The sequence below is a fragment of the Homo sapiens genome, chromosome 5 (genome assembly GCF_000001405.40).
Source record: "Homo sapiens chromosome 5, GRCh38.p14 Primary Assembly".
Classification (NCBI taxonomy): domain Eukaryota; kingdom Metazoa; phylum Chordata; class Mammalia; order Primates; family Hominidae; genus Homo; species Homo sapiens.
The window spans coordinates 11502842-11529962 of NC_000005.10; the positions used below are offsets into that span (position 1 = coordinate 11502842).

The 27121-nt window shown below is 39.3% G+C and overlaps 1 protein-coding gene across 11 annotated transcripts in view, besides 1 other annotated feature; it reads right to left on the reverse strand.

Moving 5' to 3' along the window:
* The window catches only part of CTNND2 (catenin delta 2), a 932611-nt gene that overhangs the window by 531006 nt on the left and 374484 nt on the right, over positions 1-27121 (reverse strand). The gene's annotated exons all lie outside the window — the stretch shown is intronic.
* Positions 25988-26509: an enhancer, noted in NCBI's record as "H3K27ac-H3K4me1 hESC enhancer chr5:11528941-11529462 (GRCh37/hg19 assembly coordinates)". NCBI's record gives its function as "activates a minimal SCP1, AML or CMV promoter by ChIP-STARR-seq in naive H9 embryonic stem cells {active_cell/tissue: H9 hESC(naive)}" and the evidence as "EXISTENCE:reporter gene assay evidence [ECO:0000049][PMID:30033119]".

Here is a 27121-nt window from a genome sequence, read left to right on the forward strand (position 1 = left end):
GACCTAGAAATACATGCAAAAATTAAGGCCAAGTATACTTCACACTATGAGAATACAATTAATGGAAATGTAAGTACATGTACAAGGATATGATTTGTATTCAACATCAAATAGGAGTTCTAATGAAAGCTTTCATAATATCCACAGTCAGCATATACAAATTAAATTGATGTGTGGATTATTATATTCACATTAGAAACTATCAATGAATGAAACTGTATGTAGCAACAGAAATGAGGCTAAACATTGCAGGGATGGAGTCTTGATTTCATAGGGGTCAGCTCGCATCTGCCCTTTCCACATCTTCAGATTGCATCTATCCCCTTCGCAGTCACATGAAGACAGCCTGCAAATGCACTCGCCATGCAGGGGAGACACAGCTTATTAAAGCTCCTTCACTATTAAGTGTCTGAACAAAGTAAGGGTATATTGTTACGCTTAGTGAGGGCTGAAAGTCCTAGTTTCTTTTCATATACTGCTCGGACAAAAACAAACTATGACTCTAAACTCTTACTTCTTCTAGGCTATTATATTTAGCTTGGGAATCTTGTTCTCAATTGAAAGATCAATGGCCTATGTGACCCTCAAATGTCTCCGTTGACCAAGGTTTTCTTATTATTTAAACTTCTGCTTTCAGCTTTTATTTTGAATGAATTTCGTGAGCTGCCAATTATGTGATAATAAGCTTTAATCAATTAATCAATCAATGCATCTTCATAAGGAGGTATCTTATGATATTGTTTGTATCTAAAAGCAGCGGGGTTGTGTAGGTTTATTACCACTGCCTAAGGACAGCTTTAGTCATGACGGTGCAAACATACCACACATTCACTCAAACTCCAGAGTGATTTAAAGAGCACCATGAATTTTGCCATTGGATTGAGCATTATAATCTTTTCTTTCTGTAAACTGGTTTGTTCATACTTCTATACATTACGATGTCTTGTACATACCTTGTGATGGTTACTTATGGAACAAAACAAGGATGTTATAAAGAAGAAGATGTAGCAGAAAACATCTAAACCTAAGTATGTTTTCCTATGCCTCCTTTCCTATCTCTGATCTTGGGAGAATGAGCCATTCAGAATGAAGGACAACACATAAATCATTTACAAAGAAAAAAACTGCATGAAATATATTAAATCAGCATTTCCATTTAAGTGGCTTTACTGCTACCTCATTCTGAAAGATAATTATCAACGTACAAAACATAGAGAGTGCTAAAGAATCATTATATTTATCACCGACATTCTCTGGAAGCTAGACTGAATTTGGCCATTATTTGTAGCTTTTACATGTGAATAAGATAACCATGAAGAGTGCAGACAGGGAACCTGATGCTCCTCTCCTAACCCCACCCTCTCCAGGGGACCAAATCTACTCCTTGGATAAAGGCATGGTCAGGTCTAATGCTGTTGCTGCTGCTGCTGCCGCTGCTGCTGATGATGATGACGACGATGACTCAGCGTAATGTTAGAAATCATTATTAATCATAAAAGCAAGATAATTCCAGTAACTAAAATCTTGTGTTTTTTAAGAGTTAAGAGCCCAGTCTTTAAAAAAATTGTATATGTATATAAAATTTCATCATGTCCCTGCACCAGCTAGGACCTGCTTCAGTTGAGAATCCTCCTATGGTAACAAAGAGGCATGGCTGGCTTCCAGTTGATTTCCCCGCCTGACAATTCTTTCCCTTCACACCCTGAGCTGGCATCCACGAGGGCTTCCCACTCCTTCGGGGCCAAGATGGTTGGGGCCAGGCCAGCGATTGGGCATGGAAAAGTCTTCCTGGAGGAACGGTGTCACGGCCCAGCCTTGGTGCTCTCCAATGTGGATGGCTGTGGGGAGCTGATGCTTGCCTTTTTCAGATACATTTCATGGGTTTCCTTGAGAGGCTCCACAGGGACCATCTGACAGCCACTGCCTGAGCCTGGGACTAGGGCAACACCTCTCTGTTATTCCTTCCCCACATCCTACTACCGAGTGCAGCTTTAGAGTGTGACAGTGACCCTGTAGCCTTCCTTGCTGAAGATTCCTGCTATTGGCAGGCCTCTTGAGCAGGTTCCTTTTCCTGAGAACCTGGTAAGCCTCCCATCCACAGAGACCCCACATGGCCTCCTTTTGTCCTGGAGTCTGAAGAGCCATTCTCTCCCCTGGGGCCCTCTGCTGCACATCCACATCAGCTAATCTCCTGCCTGGAGGCTGCTGCGGGCATGAGTCATAGCATGAACTGGTGAAATATTTCTGTTAAAAGAGTTGGTGCTTTTATAAAAACTAGGTCGAATGTTTTGGAAAGGCACTATCAAAAACTGTTAACATTTAAGAAAAAATACGACAAATGATAAGAGGAATCATTAAAAAAAAAAAAAGTCGAGAAAGTCTCTGTATGCAAATTGCTTCACAAGTTAACTCCAAGATACCCTGCTCTTTAAAGACGCCAAAACTAGAAATGGCTGAGGCCATATCATGGGTGGAGTTTGCCTAGGAGAGAAGTTGAGAAAATCCAGTCAGCAGGGCCACATGCTTAGAAAAGGCACGGGCTCCTCAGCAAAATGCTGGTAAATAAATCAACACTCACAGGGTTTATGTTGAAATAAACCGCTTAATGTTTGCAAGTAACACATTTATAATTTTGTCTGAAACAAGTTTTCCAGCTGATTGACAATCTACCCACCATTCCTCACTCTATAAGAACAAGCGCTTCTGTTTTGTCATGTTGTCTCCTACTGTCAGGTTGTAGAGCCAGAAAACAAAAAGGAAAACCAAAAATCCTAAGGCAGAAAACAAAAAAACAGCCCCCTCCTTCATTTGGCTTCTCCCATCTGCCCATATCTTTTTTCATTCGCACCCCAAGTTCTAAATATCTTAGTTTACTTATATCTCCATGCTTGTATTTCAAAATCCCTCAAAATGTCACTAGAGGCCAGTTTCCATGAAGCTAATGAATTATCCCCCAAATTACACAACTCAGCAGCTCCTCACGATCCTCTGTGACTGACTTATTTTCTGGAGTAATGACGCAGGCCCCCGTCATTTTTCTATGGTTCCTGTGCCAGCTGCGTTGGGTTTTCCTCTCTTCGATGGCATCCATTCATTGCTCAACCACAAGATCCTTCCCTGCAGCCTCTTCTCTTCCTCTTGCTCATAACACCATGATTAAATGTGAGTTGAAACTCACATTTCTAGGGTGGTACCCATGGTGTCTGTGTGCATGGTGTCACAGCTCGGGACACTGCACTTGGCCACTGACGGAGGCTCAGGAAAGGTTTGTAGGATAAATTGCTAACTTCCCAACCTACACTGTTAGCCTTGACTCCTCCCCAAGCTCCAGACCTACATATTAGGGGGCTATCATAGGAGATTGGCCAATAGGGCAGGCTCCAGCATCAGACCACCTCGGTTCACACTCTGTCTCCAGTACTAGCAAATTGGAAGGCTTTGGGAAAGTTACTTAACTAAGACGCTTTTTCTTACCTACAACACAGGGATAATAAAATAGAGATTTAAAAAATAAGCAGTATATTGTTTTGTTTACTTTTTATGCCAAAGCTTTATTATTATTAATATTCACAGCAATCCTTCAACACAGGTCAGAGGATACAAAATAGCCAAAATGTAGGATGAACAAGTCTGGAGAGGACAGCATGAGGACTATGATGTGTACAATTATACTACATTTGGAATTTTTGCTAAATAAGTAGATTTTAGCTGCTCTTGCTACAAAAAATAAAGGTAACTATGTGAGACGAAGCGTGTTTATTGATTCCACTATAGTGACCATTTTAGTATGCATATGTGTCCCATAACACCATGCTGTTTACCTTAAATATACACAATTCATTTTTTTAAAAGATAAACATTTATTGTAAACACTATGAGGCATGCCCAGGGCTTGGCAAAGTGCCTGATGGCTAGCAAGCCTTCCACAACAGGTAGCTTTGCTTAACCACTTGCTAGATACCAGCTCACTCATATCACTCTAACACCTCAAATGTGTCCAAAACTTAATCCATTACTTAAACTCAAACAGTATCTTCCCTTCTTCACTAATAAAATCAACCCAGCTTTAGCGATGCGACTGGTAATCAATTTCTGAATTGTTTTCTACTTCCCCCTCAACCCTTACATCGAATTAGTTGTCAAGCTTTACCTCTCCACGTACTCTCCCAAATCTACATATTAAATCTTATATCTGATCCTTTCTTTTCACAGTCTCCGACCTACTTCAGACCTCATCACCTTTCGCAGGGACCACTGTAATAGGCTCGTACCTGGGACAGTACACAAGGATTGCCTGTAGAGTGCTTGCCCATAATACTTCTCTTTCACCTCCAAATACACCCTTAGTATGGCTAAGGATGTTCCTACATAATAATGGCTTTAAATGACTGAGAAACATTCAATGGTTCTTTACGAAATGAAGAATCAAGTCCAGGCTTCTAGCTCTATGTAGAGTAAGCTAAGAGAACAGGCCAAATGGAAAAATACCACCACACATGATGATGGTCTTGTTTAAGCTATACAATCAAGAGCATACTTTGTAGAGATAAGGCTGGGAATGCCTTCTGAGAGAAGTAAATGCCCCTCCTCCATCACCCAGAGGCAGAAAGGAACTGGGCTTTTGAGTGGGGAAGGGATTTCCTCCTTCCTCCGTTGCATAAGGTTGGTACCACATGGGCTCCTAGGTGTGGTGATGAAGCACAAGGTGCCCCCACCATCAGGCTGCTGAGAAGTCTGGAAGGGGATCAAGAGCAACAAGCAGACAGCTCTGAGAGCAGGTGTAAGCCATTTCCTCCACGGGTTTCCTCCTGGTCTTTATAACACTCAGCTTTTAATGATCTGTGCTGTGGGAAACCAGACAGCACAGGGTCCTGTCCCACAGCCTGGAGTTGGAGGACAAGTGGCTGTGAACAGCAGAAGAAATACGGTCGTGTGCAGATCACAGCACGAGCAGCCACAGATGGCTGGGGACCCAAGGAGTCTTAAGGACAAAAATGGAGTGGCATGTTCCACCGTCCTGGCGAGGAGGTCCCAGGCACAATGTTCCAAAATACTCGGTGGGAAACCTCGTTGAATGGGCTGAACTCCAGCAAATAAGGACAAATAAGGCTCGTGTTGTGAGGCTTTGGACATACAAAGAAATGGATTTTTTTTTTTTTTGGTCGGCATTAGCTGCAGAGAAAAGCAGCAGTTACATGATTCACTATATATTACATCTCTGTCCTAAGGTCTGGGATTTTATGTTACGGTTGTTAGGATTTGGAATTACTTTAATGAAACAATGTTCTCCTATCGCTAAGGAATTATTCCATAGAAACAATTCAGCTACTGTAAACAGCTGGTCTCTTCTCTGGCCAAAATAATTTTGCTTGTAAATATTTCCTTTACTTATGGACAAAACCAGAAGTCTGTTTTGTAGTAACGGTTCTCTCTTCAACACACTGCATTTGAAGACAATGTTTCAGGCTGATGTGGGATCTGACTTTTTCCCTTGCTGTTCTGATGATGCTCTGCTAAGCAAACAATTGCCATGTTCCCGAGACTTCAGGTTGAAACAACAGATGTAGAGGTAGGGAGGTGAAGTGTTTTCCTTCTGCTTCTGACACGATAATGCAAACGAGAAAATTCATTTCCTTTAATGTAGCCCCCAAACCCATATATCAACACATTATCAAGTGAAATAATCTCTTTTATGTTGCACTCTGAAAAACTTTTAATATTCATGTGAAGATAAAAAAAAATACTTGGGGTTAGAAAAAAATAAATGTAACATAGAAAATATTCCCAGGGCCGGGTGCAGTGGTTCACACCTGTAATCCCAGCACTACGGGAGGCCGAGGTGGGTGGATCACCTGAGATCATGAGTTCCAGACCAGCCTGGCCAACATGGTGAAACCCCATCTCTACTAAAAATACAAAATTAGACAGGCTTGGTGGCAAATGCCTGTAATCCCAGCTACTTGGGAGGCTGAAGCAGGAGAGTCACTTGAACCTGGGAAGCAGAGGTTGCGGTGAGCTGAGATCGCACCACTGCACTCCAGCCTGGGCAATAGAGTGAGACTCGTTTTCAAAAAAAAAAAAAATTCCCAGGATACAACACAGTTTTCAAGTCATCAAATTACAGAGCCAGTAATATTAATGTTTGTATGGAAGAGAATAAGTAGACTTACAATTAAGTTGCAGGGACTTTAATAAGATGTTAACATGATTTAACTTTGACACAGGTAACTTTTTGATACTTTTGAATTTTGTAAGGACAAAACCCAATCAACTGCTTTAAAATACAGAAGAGTACTATGAAGATCAAATAACCAAGTTTTAATAAAAAGGAACATGTTTCCAGAAATTCTAAGGTCTAGCATTCTTGCAGTTCCCCTAAGGCATTGCATCAGTGAACAGATTTGAGTTTTATTGGCTAAAGGGAACAATTCTCTGTAAATACAGGCATTTAGACTTATAAAAGGTGCCTATAAAACAGATAGAAGAAGCTGGAAATTATACATGTTGTGGAACTATAAAAAAACCCATTTAAAAGCCATCCCATAGGATGTTTTATAATGTTTATCCAGTTCAAAACAGCTTTATATTTCCCATTTTTCCTACATAATAGTAAACTTTAAGGGCAAAAAAGGCAAAAAAACTGAATAATGAAAAAAAGGAAAGTAGGAGGGTTAAAGAGCGGATCACATAAGAGAAGCTTGAAAGCAGGAGAATATTTACATTTATAGGATACAGAAATTGAGCATTACGGAAGAGACCACAAAGTAAAACAAATGAGAAATTTAAACAAATAGATAAAAGGTAAATAAGAAATGAGTATCCTTCTTTTATACATGTATAACTCATAAAATCTCTGAACTAGGAAAAATCTTAAAACTGGATCTAGTCTCTTTACTTCTCTTTCGGCAGAAATGTGGTTAAATTTTAACACAGACACAGCTGTACCAAACAGGTGCTACGGAGGAATGTTTTCGGATTTCACACCTTTTCTACAGAGAGTTTCCCCTCCCCACAAAGGCAGAAATGCTTACTGTAACTTTTAGGAACAGAATCAAAGCTTCACAAGGTAGAAAAAAGCAAAAAACAAATCGTTATTATTTTTCTTTTAGAGACAGGGTCTCGCTCTGTTGCTCAGGCTAGAGGACAATGGCGCAATCACAGCTCACTGAAATCTCAACCTCCTGGGCTCAAGCGATCCACCCTCCTCAGCCTCCGAGTAGCTGCAACTACAGACACATGCCAGCACACTTGGCAAATTTTTTATTTTATTTTATTTTTGTAGAGATGATGTCTCCCTAATTTGCCCAGGGTGGTCTTGAACTCCTGGCCTCAAGCAAAAATCCTCCTGCTTTGGCCTCCCAAACTGTTGGGATTACAGGAATGAGCCACTGTCCCATACCCATTTTTTTAAGCCCTAAATTTTACTCTAAGATCTAAACCCTTGGCAACTAAAAAATATGATCTTTGATTACAGAAATAAAGGCATCACTTAAAATCTTGTTAAATTACAGAATCTCAGGCCCCTTCCCAAGCTACTCAGCCTAAATCTGCATTTAACAAGATTCCTTATTTCTACACTCATTAAATTTTGAGAAGTACAATGAGTTTGTCTAGGTATCACTTCTGACAACGTTTACCTTGTGGTTTTATTTGTACAGCTGAATAACCTTAATTTATACCTTTCTTTTATTAACTATTATTAGGACTCTCTATAATTACACATATTTGTAGGTGGCATTAAAATTACATAAGAAACATAATTCAAAGTAACAGAAAAGCAAACACACTCAAATTTAAAATGCATTTGAATCGGGCACAATGGCTCATGCCTATAATCCCAGCACTTTGGGAGGCCAAGGCGGGCGGATCACTTGAGGCCAGGTGTTCAAGACCAGCCTGGCCAACATGGTGAAACCCCGTCTCTACAAAAATACAAAAAATTAGCCGGGCATGGTGGCACATGCATGTAGTCCCAGCTACTTGGGAGGCTGAGGCACAAGTATTGCTTGAACCCAAGAGGCGGAGGTTGCAGTGAGCCGAGATTGAGCTACTGCACCCTAGCCTGGGCAACAGAAAGAGACTCTATCTCAAAAAAAAAAAAAATGCATTTGAATAGAAATTATTTCTCTAGCTTTCATCACCATATCCTGAAAGAGGTACATACAGCAAAGACTCTACATGACAAAATAGGAAACTTCCATAATGCGTACTATGTCCAAGTATGCTAACTGTATGCTAATGAGGCCTTGCACAGTAAAAGCCCTGTGGCATTTCATGTTGTCTTGTTGAGAGTTGATTGGGGTAATTCTTTCAAGGAATCATTACTCTCAGCATTTCTGTCATGCTTTCTCAGAAAGTGTTAAAGGTCATTTCACTTTCTTAAGAAAAAATATCTAACATTTAATGAGTCACAGACATATCATTCTATTTGGTTTCTATCTGTAGTAGGCAAACATCAAAATCAAAGTTTTAACCCAGGATGTGTCCAGAAATTAGAGTAATTGATCCAGAGTCCTGGCTCTGGGGAAGATGAGCGATGGCAGGGATCCGCCTTGGTGGTAACAAAGAGGAAGCCAGGGCTGGGAGGGGAGAAGGTTGTGTGTGGCCAAGGTTAGTGAGTGGGGAGCCAGGACAAAAACCCAGGACCCCTCACATCGACCATTCCCATTCCATTTTCCCCTCATTTGGGGGTGATGTGTCCATTTGGGGACATATGGTGGATGTATCTTCTAATTTCTAGCTATGCACTGAAAACATGCATCTTATCCCAAATAATTATTATTTTTTTATTTTATCCTACCTGCTAATTTCCCCTTTATATGTCAAGCTCTGAACTTGAGGCAGGAATACTGAGAAGAAAAGACATCTGAAGAAATCCTCCCCCATTGTGAATTCTGCTGTTCCATAGGTTTCTGTCCGTGGCTGCCTTTACTCTCATTCTACATCCTCACACAGTTTTCCCGCAGGTGTCATATACCACCTATGCACTACAAACACGCAGCTCACTATTTCAAGATCTTGCCTCTCTTTTGTGCCCCAGACTCATACTTCTGACTGCCCTTGGACATTACCAAAGAATTTGTTTTCAGCTAAAAATCATTAGAACAAACCTATTTTGCACTCTCATGAACCAGATTTTCTTTCTGAATTCCATTCTCATGCAATGGGACAAAGACTCCTTTATTCATTCGAATTCATTCAAACAGAAACACAGAAGGATCCTGGATTGATCTCACCTCTCCCTCATTCCCCAACCAATATAGCTTCTTGGGCATATGACCTACGCAGTCTCATTGGGCCCCACACTGAGAAGAACAACACAGTGTTTGCTTTAATGCTCTGCTGTTGCCATCTTAAAATTCCTAATATTTTTGAACAAAGGGCTCCACAATATTCATTTTGAACTAGACCCTGCAAATTGTATGACTGGTTCAGTCCTCAAATCCTATAAATTGTGCGGTTAGTCCTGCTTCTCTATAATCCGTCTCTACACATTGCTGCTGGAATTCTCCTAAATCTAGGCAGTTAGGATGTCCATTAACAAAATTTTTTAAAGGCAAAAATTCTGCGGCTTATCAATTTCCCACAAAGTGTCTTTGAGCCTTGACTGCAATGAATTTTCCAGCACAAATTCCCATGCATCTTGATTTTCAACTGTAAAGGGCAACCTGCCCTGGTTATCATGTATTTGTGCCAATATTACATGGACTGAAAGTCACCACCTCCTTTCTATATCTGACACACTCTATTCATCCTTCAAGCTTCAATTTTCCCAATGTGGCATATAACTCTTCTCTGCCTTCCATCACTCTCCCTAGGTAGGTCCAGCACCTGTGGTCAACAGTATTAGCATGGTAAGTGATTTCTAGCTGATTTACATAGGGCTCCAGGGGAATGAGGGAAGACCTCCTTTCAGTCCAGGATTTCTTCTGGCAACATCTTCGATGAGGGGAACAGCTGAGACAACATGAGTGTGTGACTGCATGGTACATTCATTACACTGGCTTTGAGCAAAGTCTGCAGGAGAAAAGACAGATGCTCCCAAACTACACATCCACTCAAGTATACATGTTCAAGTTAGTTTTTCATACAAATCTCACGTCCTTCCTTTGTTGACTTTATTCCTTCTCTGCACCATGAAACTTGCCCATACTCCTTTCCATATCTTCATGAAGGTGGCAGGAAGTCACTTCAAATCACAGCTGACTTCATTTTCATTGCTGTTTTTCTTCAAAAACATGTTAGTCTGCATCAGAGCCCCACTGCCAGGCACCCAGGAGTGGGTACAGGGGACACATGCAGACCAGGGTCAGGAGTAGCCCAGCCCCATTCAACAGCATTCCAGCTGTGTGCACAACTCAATGCATCCCTTCCATGAGCTGCAAGACGGTGCATGGGCCACAAGTACCTCTCCTTGTTTTGCTTTTCTCTCTAAGAAATCAGGGATCTCAATTCCTGACCTAATACCATGCTTGTTTTGCAAACCAGTTTCAACTAATAATAAACAATGTTGTCCTTGACAGCAGGGCCATTACTGCTGTTTCCAAATACCCTCAAGATACTCTCACATCTGTTTCATTAGACAGGCTGCAAAGGGTTTGATCAATGTGATCAAGAAAGGATTAGCATTTACTTCTATTCTCAGGTTCCTACGCTCACCTACTTTCACTCAATTTTTCTTCCTTTCTCCATTTCACTTTACAAATTGTGATTTTCACTAATAATAATTATCTCTATTACAGAAAAATAGAAGATGGGCAAAAATATGTAACTGAAGATCCCTAAGTATGTATTGATGACTTAAATATCTTTTTGAATTTGATTTTCTAGCAATTCAGTTGTGCGGCTGTTAAAAAAAAAATCTCTTTAAGTACGTCTTAATTTGCAAATGTGCCTAACTACAAGTGAACCACTCATTTAACAGACATTTAATGAGTCTACACTATATAGTATGTGTGGTCTAGAGACACATAGCCACACCTCAATAATCTAATGAGAGAGAGAGATAATATTAACAAGTATTTGTATAATAATAGGAAGTATATATAAGTATCAAATGCACTGAAGACAAACATGCCTTTGACTCCGCAATTCCATTTCTATATATTTATAATTTTAAAAAATCTAACAAGAAATGGGCCAGCCTGGGCAACATAGGGAGACTTCGTCTCTACAAAAATTTAAAAAAAGAATTAGCTAAATATGGTGGCATGTGGCTGTGGTCCTCCCAGCTACTCAGGAGGCTGAGAGGGGAGGACGCTTGAGCCAAGGCAGTTGAAGCTTCAGTGAGCTATGATCATGCCACTGCATTGTAGCCTGGACAACACAGCAAGACCCTGTCTCAGAAAAGAAAAGAAAAAGAAAAAAAAAATGTATGAACATTTAGGTGCAATAGTTTCAATATACACATATATATATAAGACATATATATATGCACTATATAAATAAAGATTTAAAATAAAGCCTAATACCTGGCTACATATCCAAGGTAATCCAGGTTTAAAAAAATAATGTTCTACAAATATTTGCCATATTCTGGAAAGAAGCTAGTTATGTTCTTTTCCTGACAGCTGGCTGTATTCATTTGATGGATTTTGAGTTATTAATATGTTTAAGAGCATGAATGTAATACAAATATTTAACGATTTAAAAATCATTTTCTGTACGTATAATTGCACAACACATTTCATGGGTGATCAGCTGTCAAGCTTATTTTACTGTGTCCTTTAAGCTGTCCAAAATATAAAAATTTCTTCGTCTTTAAATGTCATAGTGTGACCTCAAAAAGCAATGCTGCATGAATGTGTAGTGACAGTTGACACACAGGAGGTGTCATTTTAGGCATCTGCACAGAAAGTACAAAAACATACCTCTAAAGTACCCATTTGCTTCGACTTGGAACTTTTCCCTAAGATGCAAATATGCATGTGCATGCACCCCATTCCCCCCAAAAATCACATGCAGTGATATTTCTTTCTTGAGACTTAGTCCCGCTCTGTCGCCCAAGATGGAGTGCAGTGGTGCGATCGTGGCTCACTGCAACTTCCAGCTCCCAGGTTCAAGCAATTCTGTCTCAGCCTCTTGAGTAGCTGGGATTACAGGTGCACACCACATTTCTATAAAAACATGCAAGTACTTTTTTGCATCACAATAATGAAAAGAATGTGTTCTAACGTTTGTGTCACATAATGAGAACTTGAAATGGAATCAATCAAATTTTCTTAAAGGCAGGGCAAACAAACGAAAACATGCATCCCATTAATGCACACCAAAAAAAAAAAAAAACGCATTTCCTAATGAATGGGAGGTGCTTTTCTCTGCAGAAGCATCATGGTCATCAGACTCTGAGTGTGTATTTTCTCAACGGGGGTAATACTTCAGTGATTCTCCTCAAATATCAGTCCATTCATTTCCCTCTATAATAAAAGTGACACTGGAAGGTTAATGATGTGAAACTCTGCAGACAAAATGAAGCTACTATCCTCTTTCTGCTGACAAGACCACAGTAACGCAATGTGACAAATTAGAAAGAGAGGAATAGAATCTTAGATGGAGATTCCGTTTAGGATGTATTTTTCCCAGCAGTGCCTCCACTTGACTAGGTAGTATGTAAATGTGCATAAACTTTTTAAATTTATGGTTAAGAGGGTTCATGATGTTATAATTAAGGGACAGACTAGGTCAAGTTATAACATATTCTATACCATCCCATAACATATCTTTGAATTTCTTTGTATTTAGTAATCTTTGAAATGGAAGCAAATCACGAAGTATGCAATTACATGATTTTTGCAACACTACAAAGTATGCTTTTTATGAATCTCAACATAGACCACATTAGGCTTTAAAATATCACTCAAATTTGAATTTCAGCAGAAGTGCATAGAAAATTTAAATACTCAAAGGTACAATTTTCTGTTAAAAGGCTCAAAAACATTATAAAATCTATCATAAAGTCTTTAGCTAATGAAAAATTTGTTAATAGTTCAATTCAGTTAAAAAATATTTACCTCTTTGGGAAGCTGAGGGTGGAAGCTTGCTTAAGCTCAGGAGTTCGAAACCAGCCTGGGCAACATAGCAAGAACCCATCTCTACTAAAAAGAAATTTTAAAAAATTAGCCAGGCATGGTGGTATGCACCTGTAGTCATAGCTACTGGGGAGGCTGCGTTGGGGGAGACTGCTTGAGCTTGGGAGATTGAGGCTGCAGTGTGCCATGAATGCACACTGCACTCCAGTCTGGGTGACAGAGCAAAACAGTGTCTCAAAAAAAAATTTACTTAGTTTAAGTGCAATAATTGCATTATTATCAAATATGAAATAGGGCAAAGAGTAACTAAATTGTCAGAGTCACCACAAGTTTTTTATTATCTAATTATAAGAAATAACATCTTGAAACAAATCATAACAACTAAGATTGAGAATAAGACAAGGATGTCCACTCTCAACACTTCTACTCAACATGGTAAAGGAAGTCCTGGACGAGGCAATTAGGCAAAATAAATAAATAAATAAATAAATAAAAATAAAAGGCACCCATATAGGAAATGAAGAAGTAAGACAACCTCCATTTGCAGAAGATATGATCTTACATATAGAAACTGCTGAGAATTCAGAAAACAATGTGTTGAACTGATAATCAACTTCAGTAAAATTGCAAGGTACAAGATCAATATTTTAAAAATTGTTTGCATTTCTATACACTAGAAATAGACAATCCAAAAATGAAATTAAGAATACAATTTCACTTACAATAGCATCAAAAATTAATAAAAGCAAAATAAGTGCAAAATGTATATCATGAAAATAAAGAAAAAGAAGGAAATGTTAAAGATCTAAATAAATATAAAAATGGTCCATGTTCATGGACAAGAAAAGTTAATATTGTTACAATGGCAATACTTGCCCAATTAATCTACAGATTTAATACAATCTCTATCAAGATTTCAGGTGTTCTTTTGTTTGTTTGTTTGCAGAAGTTAACATGCTTACCCAAAAATTCATTTGGAAATGCAAGGACACAGAAAAGCTCAACAATCTTAAAAAAGACTAAATTTTGAGAACTCACACGTCTCAATTTCAAAATTTGTAGTTGTTTATGTAGTTACTACCATATGTTTATGTAGTTACTACTATATAAATTGAATTCTGCATACAAAACATGTATTTCTTAGGCAAGCATATTATAGAATTACTTTCCAATATCAATACAAATTCCAATATTCCAGATTTCAGGAAGTTCTAGTTGCTGAATAAGCAACACTTAACCATTGTGTTTATGTTCCACACGTGATATGTGACGTACACACTGCTAAATACCAAGCACAAAATACACTCGAATCATGCAAGTATCCTCTTATCTCTTAAATCACTGGCTTAATTTGGCCTTCCATAACTTTACATCTATTTTAACTACTCTGCTACAACTTACACTTATTAATTGATGTAAAAGAAAATATTAAAAAGCCAGGCTTTAATATCTGTCCCCAACAAAATCACATTACTTGCATACAAAAAGGTTAAGGTAATTCTCAAACTGTCTAAATTCTTCTCTCTACAATAGGGTAACACTAATTCAAGTGATTCTGCTACTTAAGTAATTTTTAACACCTTTGTTAAAGTATAATTGAAAAATTAAAATTGTACATATTTAAGGTATACAATGTGATGCTTTGATGTATGTATACATTGTGAAATGACCACCGCAAACTAATATATCCATCACCTCACATAGTTAACATTTTCTTATTTCTTAAGAACATCACACACCGGGGCCTCTCGGGGGTGTAGGGGGCAAGGGGAGGGAGAGCATTAGGACAAATACATAACGCATGCAGGGCATAAAACCTAGATGATGGGTTCATAGGTGCAGCAAACCACCATGGCACATGTACACCTATGTAACAAACCTGCACATTCTGCCTGTGTATCCCAGAACTTAAAGTAAAATAAAAAGAAAATAATAATAAAATAAATAAATAAAAATAAAATACATAAGAAAAAAGATCTCTCCTTTCAGCAAAGTTGAAGTACACGATGCAGTATTATTAACTATAGTCATCATGCTGTATATTAGATCTTCGGACACAGACAAATACTGCAGGATTACGTTTATATGTGGAATCTAAAATAGTCAAACTTACAGAAGCAGAGAGTGGAAAGGTGGTTACCGGGCATTGGTGGAACGGGGCAATGGGGTGATGTTGCCAAAGGGCACAAAGTTTTAGTTACAGTCACACGACGTCACATAACAACATTTTGGTTAACAATGGGCCGCATATAAGATGGTGGTCCCATAGAATTGTAATGAAGCTGAAAATGTCCTATTGCCTAGTGATATCATCTTGTTGATGCTGACCTTATGTAGGCCTAGGCTAATAGGTGTGCTTGTGTCTTAGTTTTTACTTAAAACATTTAAAGAGTAAAAAAAATAAATAAATAAAAGTAAAAAGCTTATAGAATAATGATAGAAATATTTTTGTACAGCTGTACAATTTGTGTTTTAAGCCAAGTGCTATTAGAAAAGAGTCAAAAAGTGAAAAGAAATTTAAGAATTTCTGAAGTAAAAAGTTACAGTAAGCCTAATTACAGTAAGGTTAATTTATTATTGAAGAAAATGTTTTCAATAAATTGAGCGTAGCCTAAGTATCCAGTGTTTCTTGAGTCTACAGTAGTGAACAGTAATGTCCTAGGCCTTCACATTCACTCACCACTCACAGACTCATCCACAGCGACTTCCAGTCCTGCAAGCCCTGCATGGTTTAAGTGTCTTATACAGGTGTATCTTTTTTTAAAAAAATCTTTTATATTTTATACTGTATTTTTACTATACCTTTACTATGTTTAGATACACAACTACTTACCATTGTGTTACAACTGCCTACAGTATTCAATACAGTAACCTGCTGTACAGGTTTATAGCCTAGGTGCAATAGACTATACCATATAACCTGGTGTGTAGTTGGCTAGACCACTAGGTCTGTGTAGGTACACTCTACGATGTTCACACAATGACAGAATTGCCTAAGGACACATTTCTCAGAACTCAGGACTTATCTCTGTCATTGAATGACACATGACTGTACTTAAGTAATGCAAAGGTAATAGAATTTCAACACAAGTACGTCCACTGGCTCTCCTTTTTTTCCCTATTTCCTCTCCCTATCTCAACACACACACACACACACACAAATTTAAGTATATGGAGGAAAAAATGGAAAAAAATAGCTCCATGTGTTCTCCCTAACATCATCATTGCATGGATGAAGTTAATGGAGGTTCAGTAAGGTTAAGTGACTAGTTCATCTCAACATGCCTAGCAAACAAAGAATTCAAACTCAGCCTAATTTTGTAGACTATACACTTGATCATTCTTAATAGCAACAATTTACAGCTTCTTTTTAAAGCAAAACTTTTCAAAAAAGCTTTCACTTCTTTGAGTACCATTTACCTACTTTAATTGGACTTTTGACCCCTTCATTTCATTGAAATTGACTTTGCTAAAGTCAATAATGGCTTCCATGTTAGCACTTCCAATAGGTCTTGATTCATCTTACACATCTTCAAAGCAGCACTGAACCCAGCTGACAGCCTTATCTTTGAAGTTCTCTATTCCCAGCCACTGTGACTTAAAGGCTCTATGGTTTACTTTTCATTCTCTTTTGTGGGTTTTTTTTTTTTTTTCTGGTCAACTGCTAAATATTAGAGTGCTTCAGGCCTAGACGATTGGCGTCTTGTCTTCTGCATCTCTAGTTTCTCAAGCAAAACAAGATACTGTTTAATATTATCTGGATTTTATTTCCTTATTTATTGGTTTATTTTTCATCTCCTCATACCAGTGTATAAACTTCATGAGTCACAACAGATAGGAAGTGTTTTCTAAGTGTCTGTTGGATAAATAAATGGAAGGAAGGAAGGTAGGTAGGTAGGTAGGTAGAGGTATAAATTTTAATCCCTCCTTTCTGAGAAAACTGTGATTTTACCTGATAAGGAGTGACTGTTGAAAATATCTCTATCTGGCCAGGCATGGTGGCTCATGCCTATAATCTCAGCACTTTGGGAGGCTGACACGGGCGGATCACCTAAGGTCAGGAGTTCGAGACCAGCCTGGCCAACATGGTGAAACCCCATTTCTACTAAAAATAGAATAAAAAAAAAAACAGCTGGGCGTGGTGGTGGGTGCCTGTAATCCTAGCTACTCGGGAGGCTGAGGCAGGAGAATCACTCGAACCCAGGAGGAAGAGGTTGCAATGAGCCGAGATCACGCCACTGCACTCTAGCCTGGGCAACAAGAGTGAAACTCTGTCTTGGAAAAAAAAAAAAAAAAAGAAAGAAAATAAAAGAAAAAGAAAATATCTCTATCTTAGGGATCTCTTTTGCAGTAAGGCTTGGATCTGCTTTGTCTGCATGCTGCACCCCTCAGTATTCCACATTCTAGGCCAACTGCCCCTCAATGGTTGACTCCAAGTTATTATCACAGCCCTGCCACCAGGAAATCCTAAAATCAACCTAGATTAAAGAGAAAGGCCTGGTCAGCTGTGATACTTGCTATGAGTGCAAATGTTCCACAGATGAACTAGGTCATGCTGGATTTAGCCACTCTCTCAATGAGCAGGAATGCCAAAACTCATGGGGGCAGAGTGAGGTGCGTACCAGGCCTAAAGTGACTGCGTTCTCAGTAGAGGATCCCTTTCACAAGTGTTTCTGAGAAGCTCACTGTTTATTAGCATCAGACCTTGATCTCAATCATAGCAACTTGTCACCCATGAGACACGCCCAGCCCTCATCTCATTTCTTTTGAGTCCTCCAGGATGCTGCCTAGATTGGCCTTGAATTGTGGCCCTCATCCAGGCATTTGGCTGCCTTCACCCAGTACCAGCCCATCACCTGTCATGCCTCCTGCTTTCCCCAGCCAGATGGGCAGCCCCAATTTCTTAGCAGCTCTTGTGGAGAAGCTGTGTTATTTCAACAACCATATGCCAGAGCTTAGCACCTAGCAGTTTGTGATAAATAGACTTAATATAGTCAGGATCTCTGTTTAAGGAGAAATGCTAATGATGATAAAGATTTACATTTTGTGATGCAACAATGTGATTATATAAACCTAAGGAAACAAATGAAAATAAATCACGTTGTGCTATTTGGTTTACAGTTTACGTGATACGATTTTCATTGTTTTCCGATTTTCTATATTTTGTATTTTAAGTCATAGGAAAATAGAGGGGTAATTCGAATTTTCAAGTTGAAGATGTGCTTATTACCATTTTAGAAATATAATAAACATTCATATCAAAGGGAAATTTGGCATGTCAGAAAAATGACACTAAGTTTTTGTTTCAAAATGTGGCCATATATTTCTTAATGTTTTTTACCTTTTAATAGCACCTTCAATTCTACATTCTCCCCCAGCGATCACAAAGTCAAAAACATCCTATTGTAACATCAAGGCACATATCTGAGGACTCTTCTCTCTAACTGAGCCTTCTTTATTATTCTTGGGCAAATTATTTAATCTATTTTAGCCTCTTTTCCCATCATCATTCTCACAAAGGGTTAGTGATAGATAAGGTAAGAGCTTATCTTTCACTTACCTTAGAGAGTTGTTCTGAAGACTGAATGAAATAAACCAGGTGAAATATTTAGCACACTGCTTGCTTAGTGAATGCTCAATGCATGTTTGTCATCATCATTCTCACCACCATCATTAAACATATATACATAGTCAACATTTAACTTGGGATTTTCTCAGCATTCTTCAAAACAGTTTACCACAGATATTAATATTCTGGTTCTAAAACAGTATCCGGCAAAAATTAGGCATTTAGTAAATGTATATTAAGTGTTGGTCACATATTATCTTCTTTGGTAGCTTTACTGAGGCAAAGACCATGTTGCATCCCATCTGAGGCTAGATGAAGTATCAGGAGCAGCAAAGACAATCGATGCTCGTTGAGTGAATGATGCATAGCCGATGTTAAACATCCATTAGGAAATAACATAGAGAGCTTTGCATTCTATTACAATGACAGGTGACAATGGATGCACTCCCAACGAGAACAATTTATAACCTCTCCTTTCTTGCCTTTTGCTGATAACTGATTACATATTTGAAGATCATTGCTGCAACCTATATAGTCTATCCAGCTGTATGAGACCAGCCTCACAGAGCAAACTTAAAGCATAGTGAAGGGAGAGATCTATCCTAAATCAAGCAGACACAGTGCATGATTATTGGCTATTAATTCTGTGGACACACAGCGTGAGAATTTAAATTCATAAACATTAAATAGGTAACTGTTAAATAGAGAGCACTTATTTAATTTGGTCACTTAACATACTTTCTGAATCTCTATGTGTTAGAAGAAAGATTGTAAATTTTCCATGACAAACGTGATAAAAGTATAATTTATTTCTCAATTTCTGTATTGCATGGTTTAGTAGAAAGGACCCTGGGCTGGAAGACCCAGGAATACAGCCATAGCCTTGGCTTTGTAATTTTCACAAGTCACCTTACATTACGGCTTTAGTTTTCATCTGAAACCTGTCAGTTCCCTTCCAGCTGTAAAACCCTAAGTTTCTAATAATAACCCCATCATCAAAATCTGGTGTTTTGTTAGTATCATTCTCCCAAAGCATTGCCGCAGACTACAATCAACTCTATTATCCATGTTAGATTTTAACGTTATACCCGGGCTCTATCTACAGGGAGACAATATCAAATCAGTGCTCACAATGATGATTTGCTATACCCACGCAACTCCTTCTCCATGCGAATGAGACCTTCTCTGTGTAAATTGAAATTGCACATAGAGAACAGAGATATCATAAACGAGTATTTCCCATTCATTCTAATCACAGTTGACTCATGACAAGATGGCAGACAGGACCATAGCAGGTATCAGACTGCATTACTCAGGACCAATTAAGCCAAGTTATTCCATATAGACACAGGTTTTTTTCTTGAACGATGAAGGGAAAGACAGAAATTTTTGGCCATAGAAAAATTTACTATGATAAATACTGTCTCAACAAGCTACACATACACATGTATTTTTGCAAAGAAGCACCCATGCGTTTGAATTACTGTTAAAGTCAAGTTGCTGTGTGAAAACTGGGACACTTTCAGCATATATTCTCCAACATTTCTGATATCAAGTTACAGTGGAGCTATTTGGCATGGTTGGATGCGATGGGCTGGCTTCCCTATGCCATATGCTATTGAATATGCAAGTTTTTCTACAAAAGTTTCCATAACTGATACTAATTTCACACTTAATCCACATATACTAGCTATGCTGGAAGTTTAATACATAATATAATTATGGAGGAAACGATCAGTCTTTTTCCAAGGCTTGTTCCAGCCCTAAAGCAAATCATTCTGCATTATCTGTGGTAATACGTGGAAGCACAATAATGTTATTTTGAAATAACATGAGATTTTTTTTTAAGATTCTACAGTTTCTGATTTGGAGTTGTTTCTACACTTTTAAAAACTTCATATTTTTAACACAAAAACACAAATGTAACATAAGGTTATGGTATCATGTATATCGAGGCACACTTGCGTAACCATCGAGTCTCTCAACAATGAATGATCCTAAATTCCTGCACTCAGAAGCCTCCAATGACATCTTTGTATTTTATGACTCTACACTGGAATAATCACAAACCTACAAAGGGGCATTTCTCAGATGTGCACAGGTTTAGTGGTTCAGTACAGAGTACTAGAGGCTGGAGTCCACGTTTCTTCAGAGAAGAACTTTTGATGAATTTACTACAGTGACAATCTCAGTTCATCTCCAAGTAGAACATAACAAGAAAGACAGGTCCCTTCACTGAGGTCTGAAAAGAACTAATGCACCGGGGACTTCCTGCACCTGCTCTTATGGCTCTCTTTTTTCTGGTTGGATTGCCTCCTCTTCCCTTATCGAAACTCTGCCCCCTTCTCAGCCAGTCCTACTCACTGGTGCCCTTGACCACTCTGCCCTGGCCAGGGCTTACAACAATGAGCCCATGTTGCTGTGAAGCGGGTGCAGGGGGTCTGCACGTCTCATTCTCTCCATCTATGGCCTTCAGTTCTGGTGCTCTATCTGTGTTGCTGTCACAGTGATTCCTCAGCTAATTAATCCCCTGGTTATACAAACTCAACCATGTTTAAAAAGTGATCCTCATAAATCATCATGGGCAGAAATGCTTGTTAAGGAAAAAAGGCCTTCTAGGGCTGGCTCCTTTTGGAACTATCTCAGATAAGGGTAAGAGGGTGGGCAGGAGGTGGGCTGTGAAGCCCTAAAGCCTGGGGCTGGAATCTGTGATCCCCTCACTGCACCCCACACTTGCCCCACCTGTGACCTCCACCTTCCCACGTCCCCTCCACAGGACTCTTCAGCCTTTGCAGACACTCAAGACAGCGTGTGCCCTTTCACCTCCTAACAAAACAGTCATTTGAATTGTTTCCCTGACTTATGACGCCCTGACTCAAACACAATCACACACTAAGGCATGAAATCTGAAAGTACTTTTGTTGTAAGTTGCAGAATGAAATGCTTTTGTTCTTTGGCTAATGGAATTTCAAGCATCAGCAAACAGTGGATTTTTATTGTTCTTTTGTGTCTAGAAGGACCAGTGAAGAGACTCTCCAGTCCTCCCTGGGTTAATGGAGGCTGAGTGAGGACGCTCCTGGTGACACAGGGAACCCTGCATTAACACAGTTTCTTTCCCCCAACAAAGCCCTGCTCAAAAGAATTTTAGGCAATTTGAAGACGGATGCTAGAGGCCTAAGGAAGGAGATAAGCTTCTGTCTGTTCCCCTCCAGGAGTTCCTGTCTAAAAGAGCCCATCTCTCCTTGTTTTAACAAAGTACCTACACACTTTAACAAAATGATTGTCAAAACAAAATTAATGCAGTTCCAACGTTTACTGGTGATAATATACACTAGAGCTTGTAACGTACATTCAACTGTATACGCATCATCACTTCGTTTTGCAAAACTTATTTTGTTTCTCATCATGCAAAGGAAGCAAACCTTAAAAAAAAAGACTACAATGTTGTCCTTTTACTTGACTCAAACATAGCATATAAAAATATGCTATGTTCATTGATCCATAGCTTACTCACAATTCTCAAAATTCTTTGTATGATAGATTTGACAAGGAATTTAAATCGAATATTTAACTAACTTTTACTAATTTAGAAAAGCAGGCTGTCTGAAGAAGCCGAAAGTCATTTTTGTGTTTATTGTAAGATAACCTTTCCCCAGTGGCAGCCAGCAACACATCTGCATTCCTACCTTCCTTATGACACACTCACTATGGAGAGCTCTAGGGCTTTTTAGCTGCAGCCAAACATCCATGCTTGAGTTACATATCAAAGGAGATTTTTCATCCTTAGCCCAACTCACAGCACTTAGAGCACAATGTGCTGAATTTTTAACAGGAAACCGCCTCTTTGTGTAGTCCCTTCCCCAGGAGGCTCTTGTCAAAACATGTGATATTTCAGAGTTCAACTTCCTGGCTGCACAAACTGATACATTGTCTTTTTGTACCATGAGTAACATTTTCAAATTAAAAAAAAAACACATAATCATATTTCATGTCCTCAAAGAATTTAGGAAGAGGTTAAATTTAAACATTTTGATTCAGATCTCAGCCTTTGTAAATAAGGATACATAACATTCCATCACCTACCTATGAGACCACAGAAATATCAAAAGCTAGGACAAGAACAGCAGTACTGTGAACCACACACAGTTAAAAAGCGTTCATTGTCCAACACCACAAGTAAGTTCAGCAGTTCTCAAATAGCATCCATCCCTGCCCAGGGCCACTGTCTGTGTGTCTTCCCATTCTCCCCAGGTCTGCAGAATCCCAAAAATGTGCACATGAGGTTAACTGGCACGCCTACACAGTCCCAGTGTGAGTGTGTGTGGGTGTGTGTGAAAGGTGCAGCGATGGGATGGTGCCCTGTTCAGGGCTTGGTGGCCACCTGGTACCCTGAGCTGCTGGGATAGGCTCTGGGCCACCCAAGTCCTTGAACAGAAATAAGAAGGTAAATCACTATCTTACTTGTTTTTTTGTTTGTTCGTTTTGAGGCAGAGTCTCGCTCTGTCACCCAGGCTGGAGTATAGTGGCACTATCTTGGCTCACTACAACCTCCGTCTCCCAGGTTCAAGGATTCTCCTGCCTCAGCCTCCTATGTAGCTGGAATTGCACGTGTGTGCCACCACACATGGCTAATTTTTGTATTTTTGGTAGACAGGGTTTCACCATGTTGGCCAGGTTGGTCTTGAACTCCTGGCCCTAAGTGATCTACTCGCCTCAGCTTCCCAAAGTGCTGGGATTACAGACATGAGCCACCATGCCCGGTCTATCTTACTTGTTTTTATTAAACTTTCCTAAATGTATGGATAACACACATTCATTTCTTGTTGAATATTAGAAGCGTTTTGGTCTTCATTCAGAAGTTTGGTGATGTTTTTGTGACCAGAAGCCGCCATACAAACTTAACTCTTGTTTATACCAACTCGCCTATGGTGAAATTGGTTCTGTCATATGTTGTTTTGCTTCAAGTCGCAGTTTCCGGAACCTATCGATGACGTTAAGTGTGCACCTGCTGTGTATGCTGCCTTGTTTTAGGCAGTGCTGATCCTCAGGCCTCACTTCCAGGTGCTGGCCCAGCTGGCTGAGGACAGGGGCAGCTGGTGCCTTCGGTAGAATCACGCCAGCCACCACTTGCTAGAGTTTGCCACACGCCAGCCCTCTTCTAAACATGTCTAAGCATTTTGTTATGTATTAACACTTAATCCTCAGAATACCCCTGTGTTTTAGGAACTATCAGCACCCCCACTTTATACATAAGAAAACTAGGGTGCAAAATTAAAACCAAAATTACCACTTGATCCAGCCATTCCACTCCTAGGTACACACCCAGGAGAACTGAAACAGGGACTCACACTGACACCTGTACACCAGTTTTCACTGCAGCCCGAAGTGGAAGGACCCACGTGTCCATCAACAGAGGAATGGAAGAAGAAAATATGGTCTGTCCATACTGTGGAATATTATTTAAAGTGAAAAAGAAAATAAAATTCTGATACATGCTCAATATAGATGAATCTTAATGACATGCTAAGTGAAGTAAGCCAGACACAGAAGGACAAATACTGTATGAATCTGCTTACATAATGTACCTAGAGTAGGCAAATTCATAGAGACAAAAGAAAAAGAAGGTGGGGTTGGGGGAGAGCAGATGGGGAGTTACAATTTATACTTTCAGTTTTGGAAGATGAAAAAATTCTGGAAATGGATAGAGTGATGGTTGCACACTATTGTAAATATACTTAATAACACTGAATTTTATACTTAAAAATTATTAAAATGGTAAATGTTATGTATTTTTTTACCACAATAAAAAAAAAGAAAAAACTAAGATGCAAAGAAGTAGAATACAGTTCTCCAAATTGTCAGGCCTACAAATGGCAGAGTGTGGCTTAGAACTCAGGCAGGCTGGCGCCAGAAGCCTCGTCCTTCCCTACTCATGCAAAGATACACTGTGCCCCACAGTACCTCTTTCAAGTCTCCACTGCATCCCGCACAAGGCCTTCTGGGAGCCTGCCCTGGAATCCCACCCCCTGTACCCTTCCCACCCATCCACCTCTAGGCAGAACTCAGGCTCGAGGTCTCCCCACCTTTGCTCCATCTCAGCCCCTTCCCTTTATCTCCAAGCTCTAAAGCTCCCCTTAGATAGAAGCAAAGGTGGAGTCAATGGCAGTTCCAAGGCATCTCTGAGACTTTTTATCAGTTGTTCCTCTAGTGATAGTTTCTCACCAAGAGCTTGGTCATAGCATGACACTCCTCTAAGCTGCTGTGTCATTATATTTAATATTTCATATAAACCTGTCTTCTAAATTTTACTGTATACTCTTAACGAGAAAGGGTGATCTTATGCTTTATGTTTCCCTGGGCACTTAACAGAGAACAGTGGACACACAGGCGTGCAATAAACATTGTGTAATAAATGTCTTCCTAACAGTTACCCCAGGGTGTAGTCAACATAATGGCAATGGTTTATGACTTGGGTACGGCGCTGCATTAAGGGTGTTTTTCCAAACAGATTTAAACAGATTTCTTTGGAAAAGTAAATAAACTAGAATAATATCATAATAACATAACAATATTAATAGAGTCAATTTAAAAAACCCATGCAGTATGAGCACTCATATAAAGAGAGCCACATTTAAAAGCTCGCGGGGGACTTATCAATCAATGTCATTTTCACAATGGGTCCCCAAGCCTGGGAATCTCATACAGGGTTCAGAAAGAATGAACATATTGTTACTACTGCAGTTGTACTTGGTGTCAAATGACAAGATCATCCATCAAGGAGGCATCACTGTAACTTGGAGACAAGCCGCACAGGTCACAGGCACAGAAGCTTTTGGAGTTGAGATAATTTTCACAGACTTGAAGCTGTGCTCTTAAGTAATGGCTTTCTGGGTTTTCATTTGTATACTCACTTTGTGTCAACAAGTAAAACACAGCAACCCATGAAATGAAGAGTTCTTATTCCCAGTAGTTCACATAAAAAAAAAATGAAATTTCTTATTAGAAATATTCAAGAGTTCGTCCTCCATGTCATGGAGTTATCAAAAGTCAAAGTAATTGAAATATATCAGAGGGACTGGGACAGCCTTGAACAGAGTGGGAAACAACATCCCTTGGAAAATACCAAAAGGGAGGTGCAGAGTCTGGGGCTGGTGTCAGGTCCTCAGGGAACTCTTCCTCCAATGTCCAGCTTCACACTGGTGCCAAGCCCTGCCCAACCCAATGTAAGCCTGCACCACAGAGTATATGGCCTTGGGGAGTTGGCCGTGCTGGCCTTTCTGAGATGCACACCTTACACCCTGGAGTCTGAACCAGGGGCCACAAAGGAAGTGAGCAGCGACCTAGCTCTGACAGAAGAAGGCCTTCCAGTGGGGCAGGCACCTGCCCTGACCTCAGCAGGCACTTTAGACTTCCCCTTTTCATCAGTGGCCAGGTGGCCCCAGAGGCTGCTGGGATGGAGCAGAGCTGTCTGGCTGGGCAATTCATGTTGTCGGCTTCAAGAGACACACTTGAGTTTCTGATCTTCTCACAGAGGCCGGCGTTGACAGGTATGGAGTGATGAAAATATGTGGGAAGGGAACCCCAGGATCACAGTGTGCTAACCAGGACAGACTGGTGCCGGCAGGAAATAGCAATGCGGAAAACAGGGACACAAGGCCATATTTTTCCGTCATTGGCTGTGAAGATCTAGGAAATAAGGGTTGCTTGCCACTGACCAAAAGGAAACTGAAATGAAGTCTTGATCAAAAGGTAGCACTGTCTGCCTCCTACTTAGCATAATGCTCTATTAGCTGTGCAAAAAACTGGCAAAAAACAAAACAAAACAACAACAACAGCAAAAACAGAGATATTGTGTTTAGGAATGCTACTAAATGGATTATTTAATTTCAGTTAAAAAATTCAAATGCTTTATAAAACCAAAGCGTCTTCCAATGAAGTACATTTTATTTGCAGATATTCAGAAAAGGAAACAAAATTCTTCCATAGTTCATAAACAAGAAATACACACTGTGGTTCTACATAATTTGAGCCATCTTTGATCTATTTTTAACTCTGCCTTGGCACTCAAGAAAAACTCACGGGAAAAAAAATGATTCAATAAAAAGCAATATCCTCATGGGAAGATAATCAAATAAAGCTTAGTTTGGAAACTGGTTTTGTAGTTTCCTAAATACAAAGCATGCAGTGGATTTACTACATCTTTAGCATAACTATGAATATGAATGGGGTCTCCAGAGCTAACCCAAGATTATGCAGATAGTTTAAGCTTTATTCCAGGCAAAATTTCAACTAGATTTAGAAACATTTTCATAAAAAAGGGCTGTAAAGAGATTAATGGTATTTTCAAACAATCTAAAATCATGGATTTGAGAGATCTTGCCTTGGTTTATTGTCTTTAAAATTACTCAGAACAATACACACTTGGGTATCTAAAACAGAATTATCAAAATCCTTTTGTACTGATAACCCCATAATTCCTATATTATTTAGAAAAAGTAATTTATCTTGAAAATTACATATTATA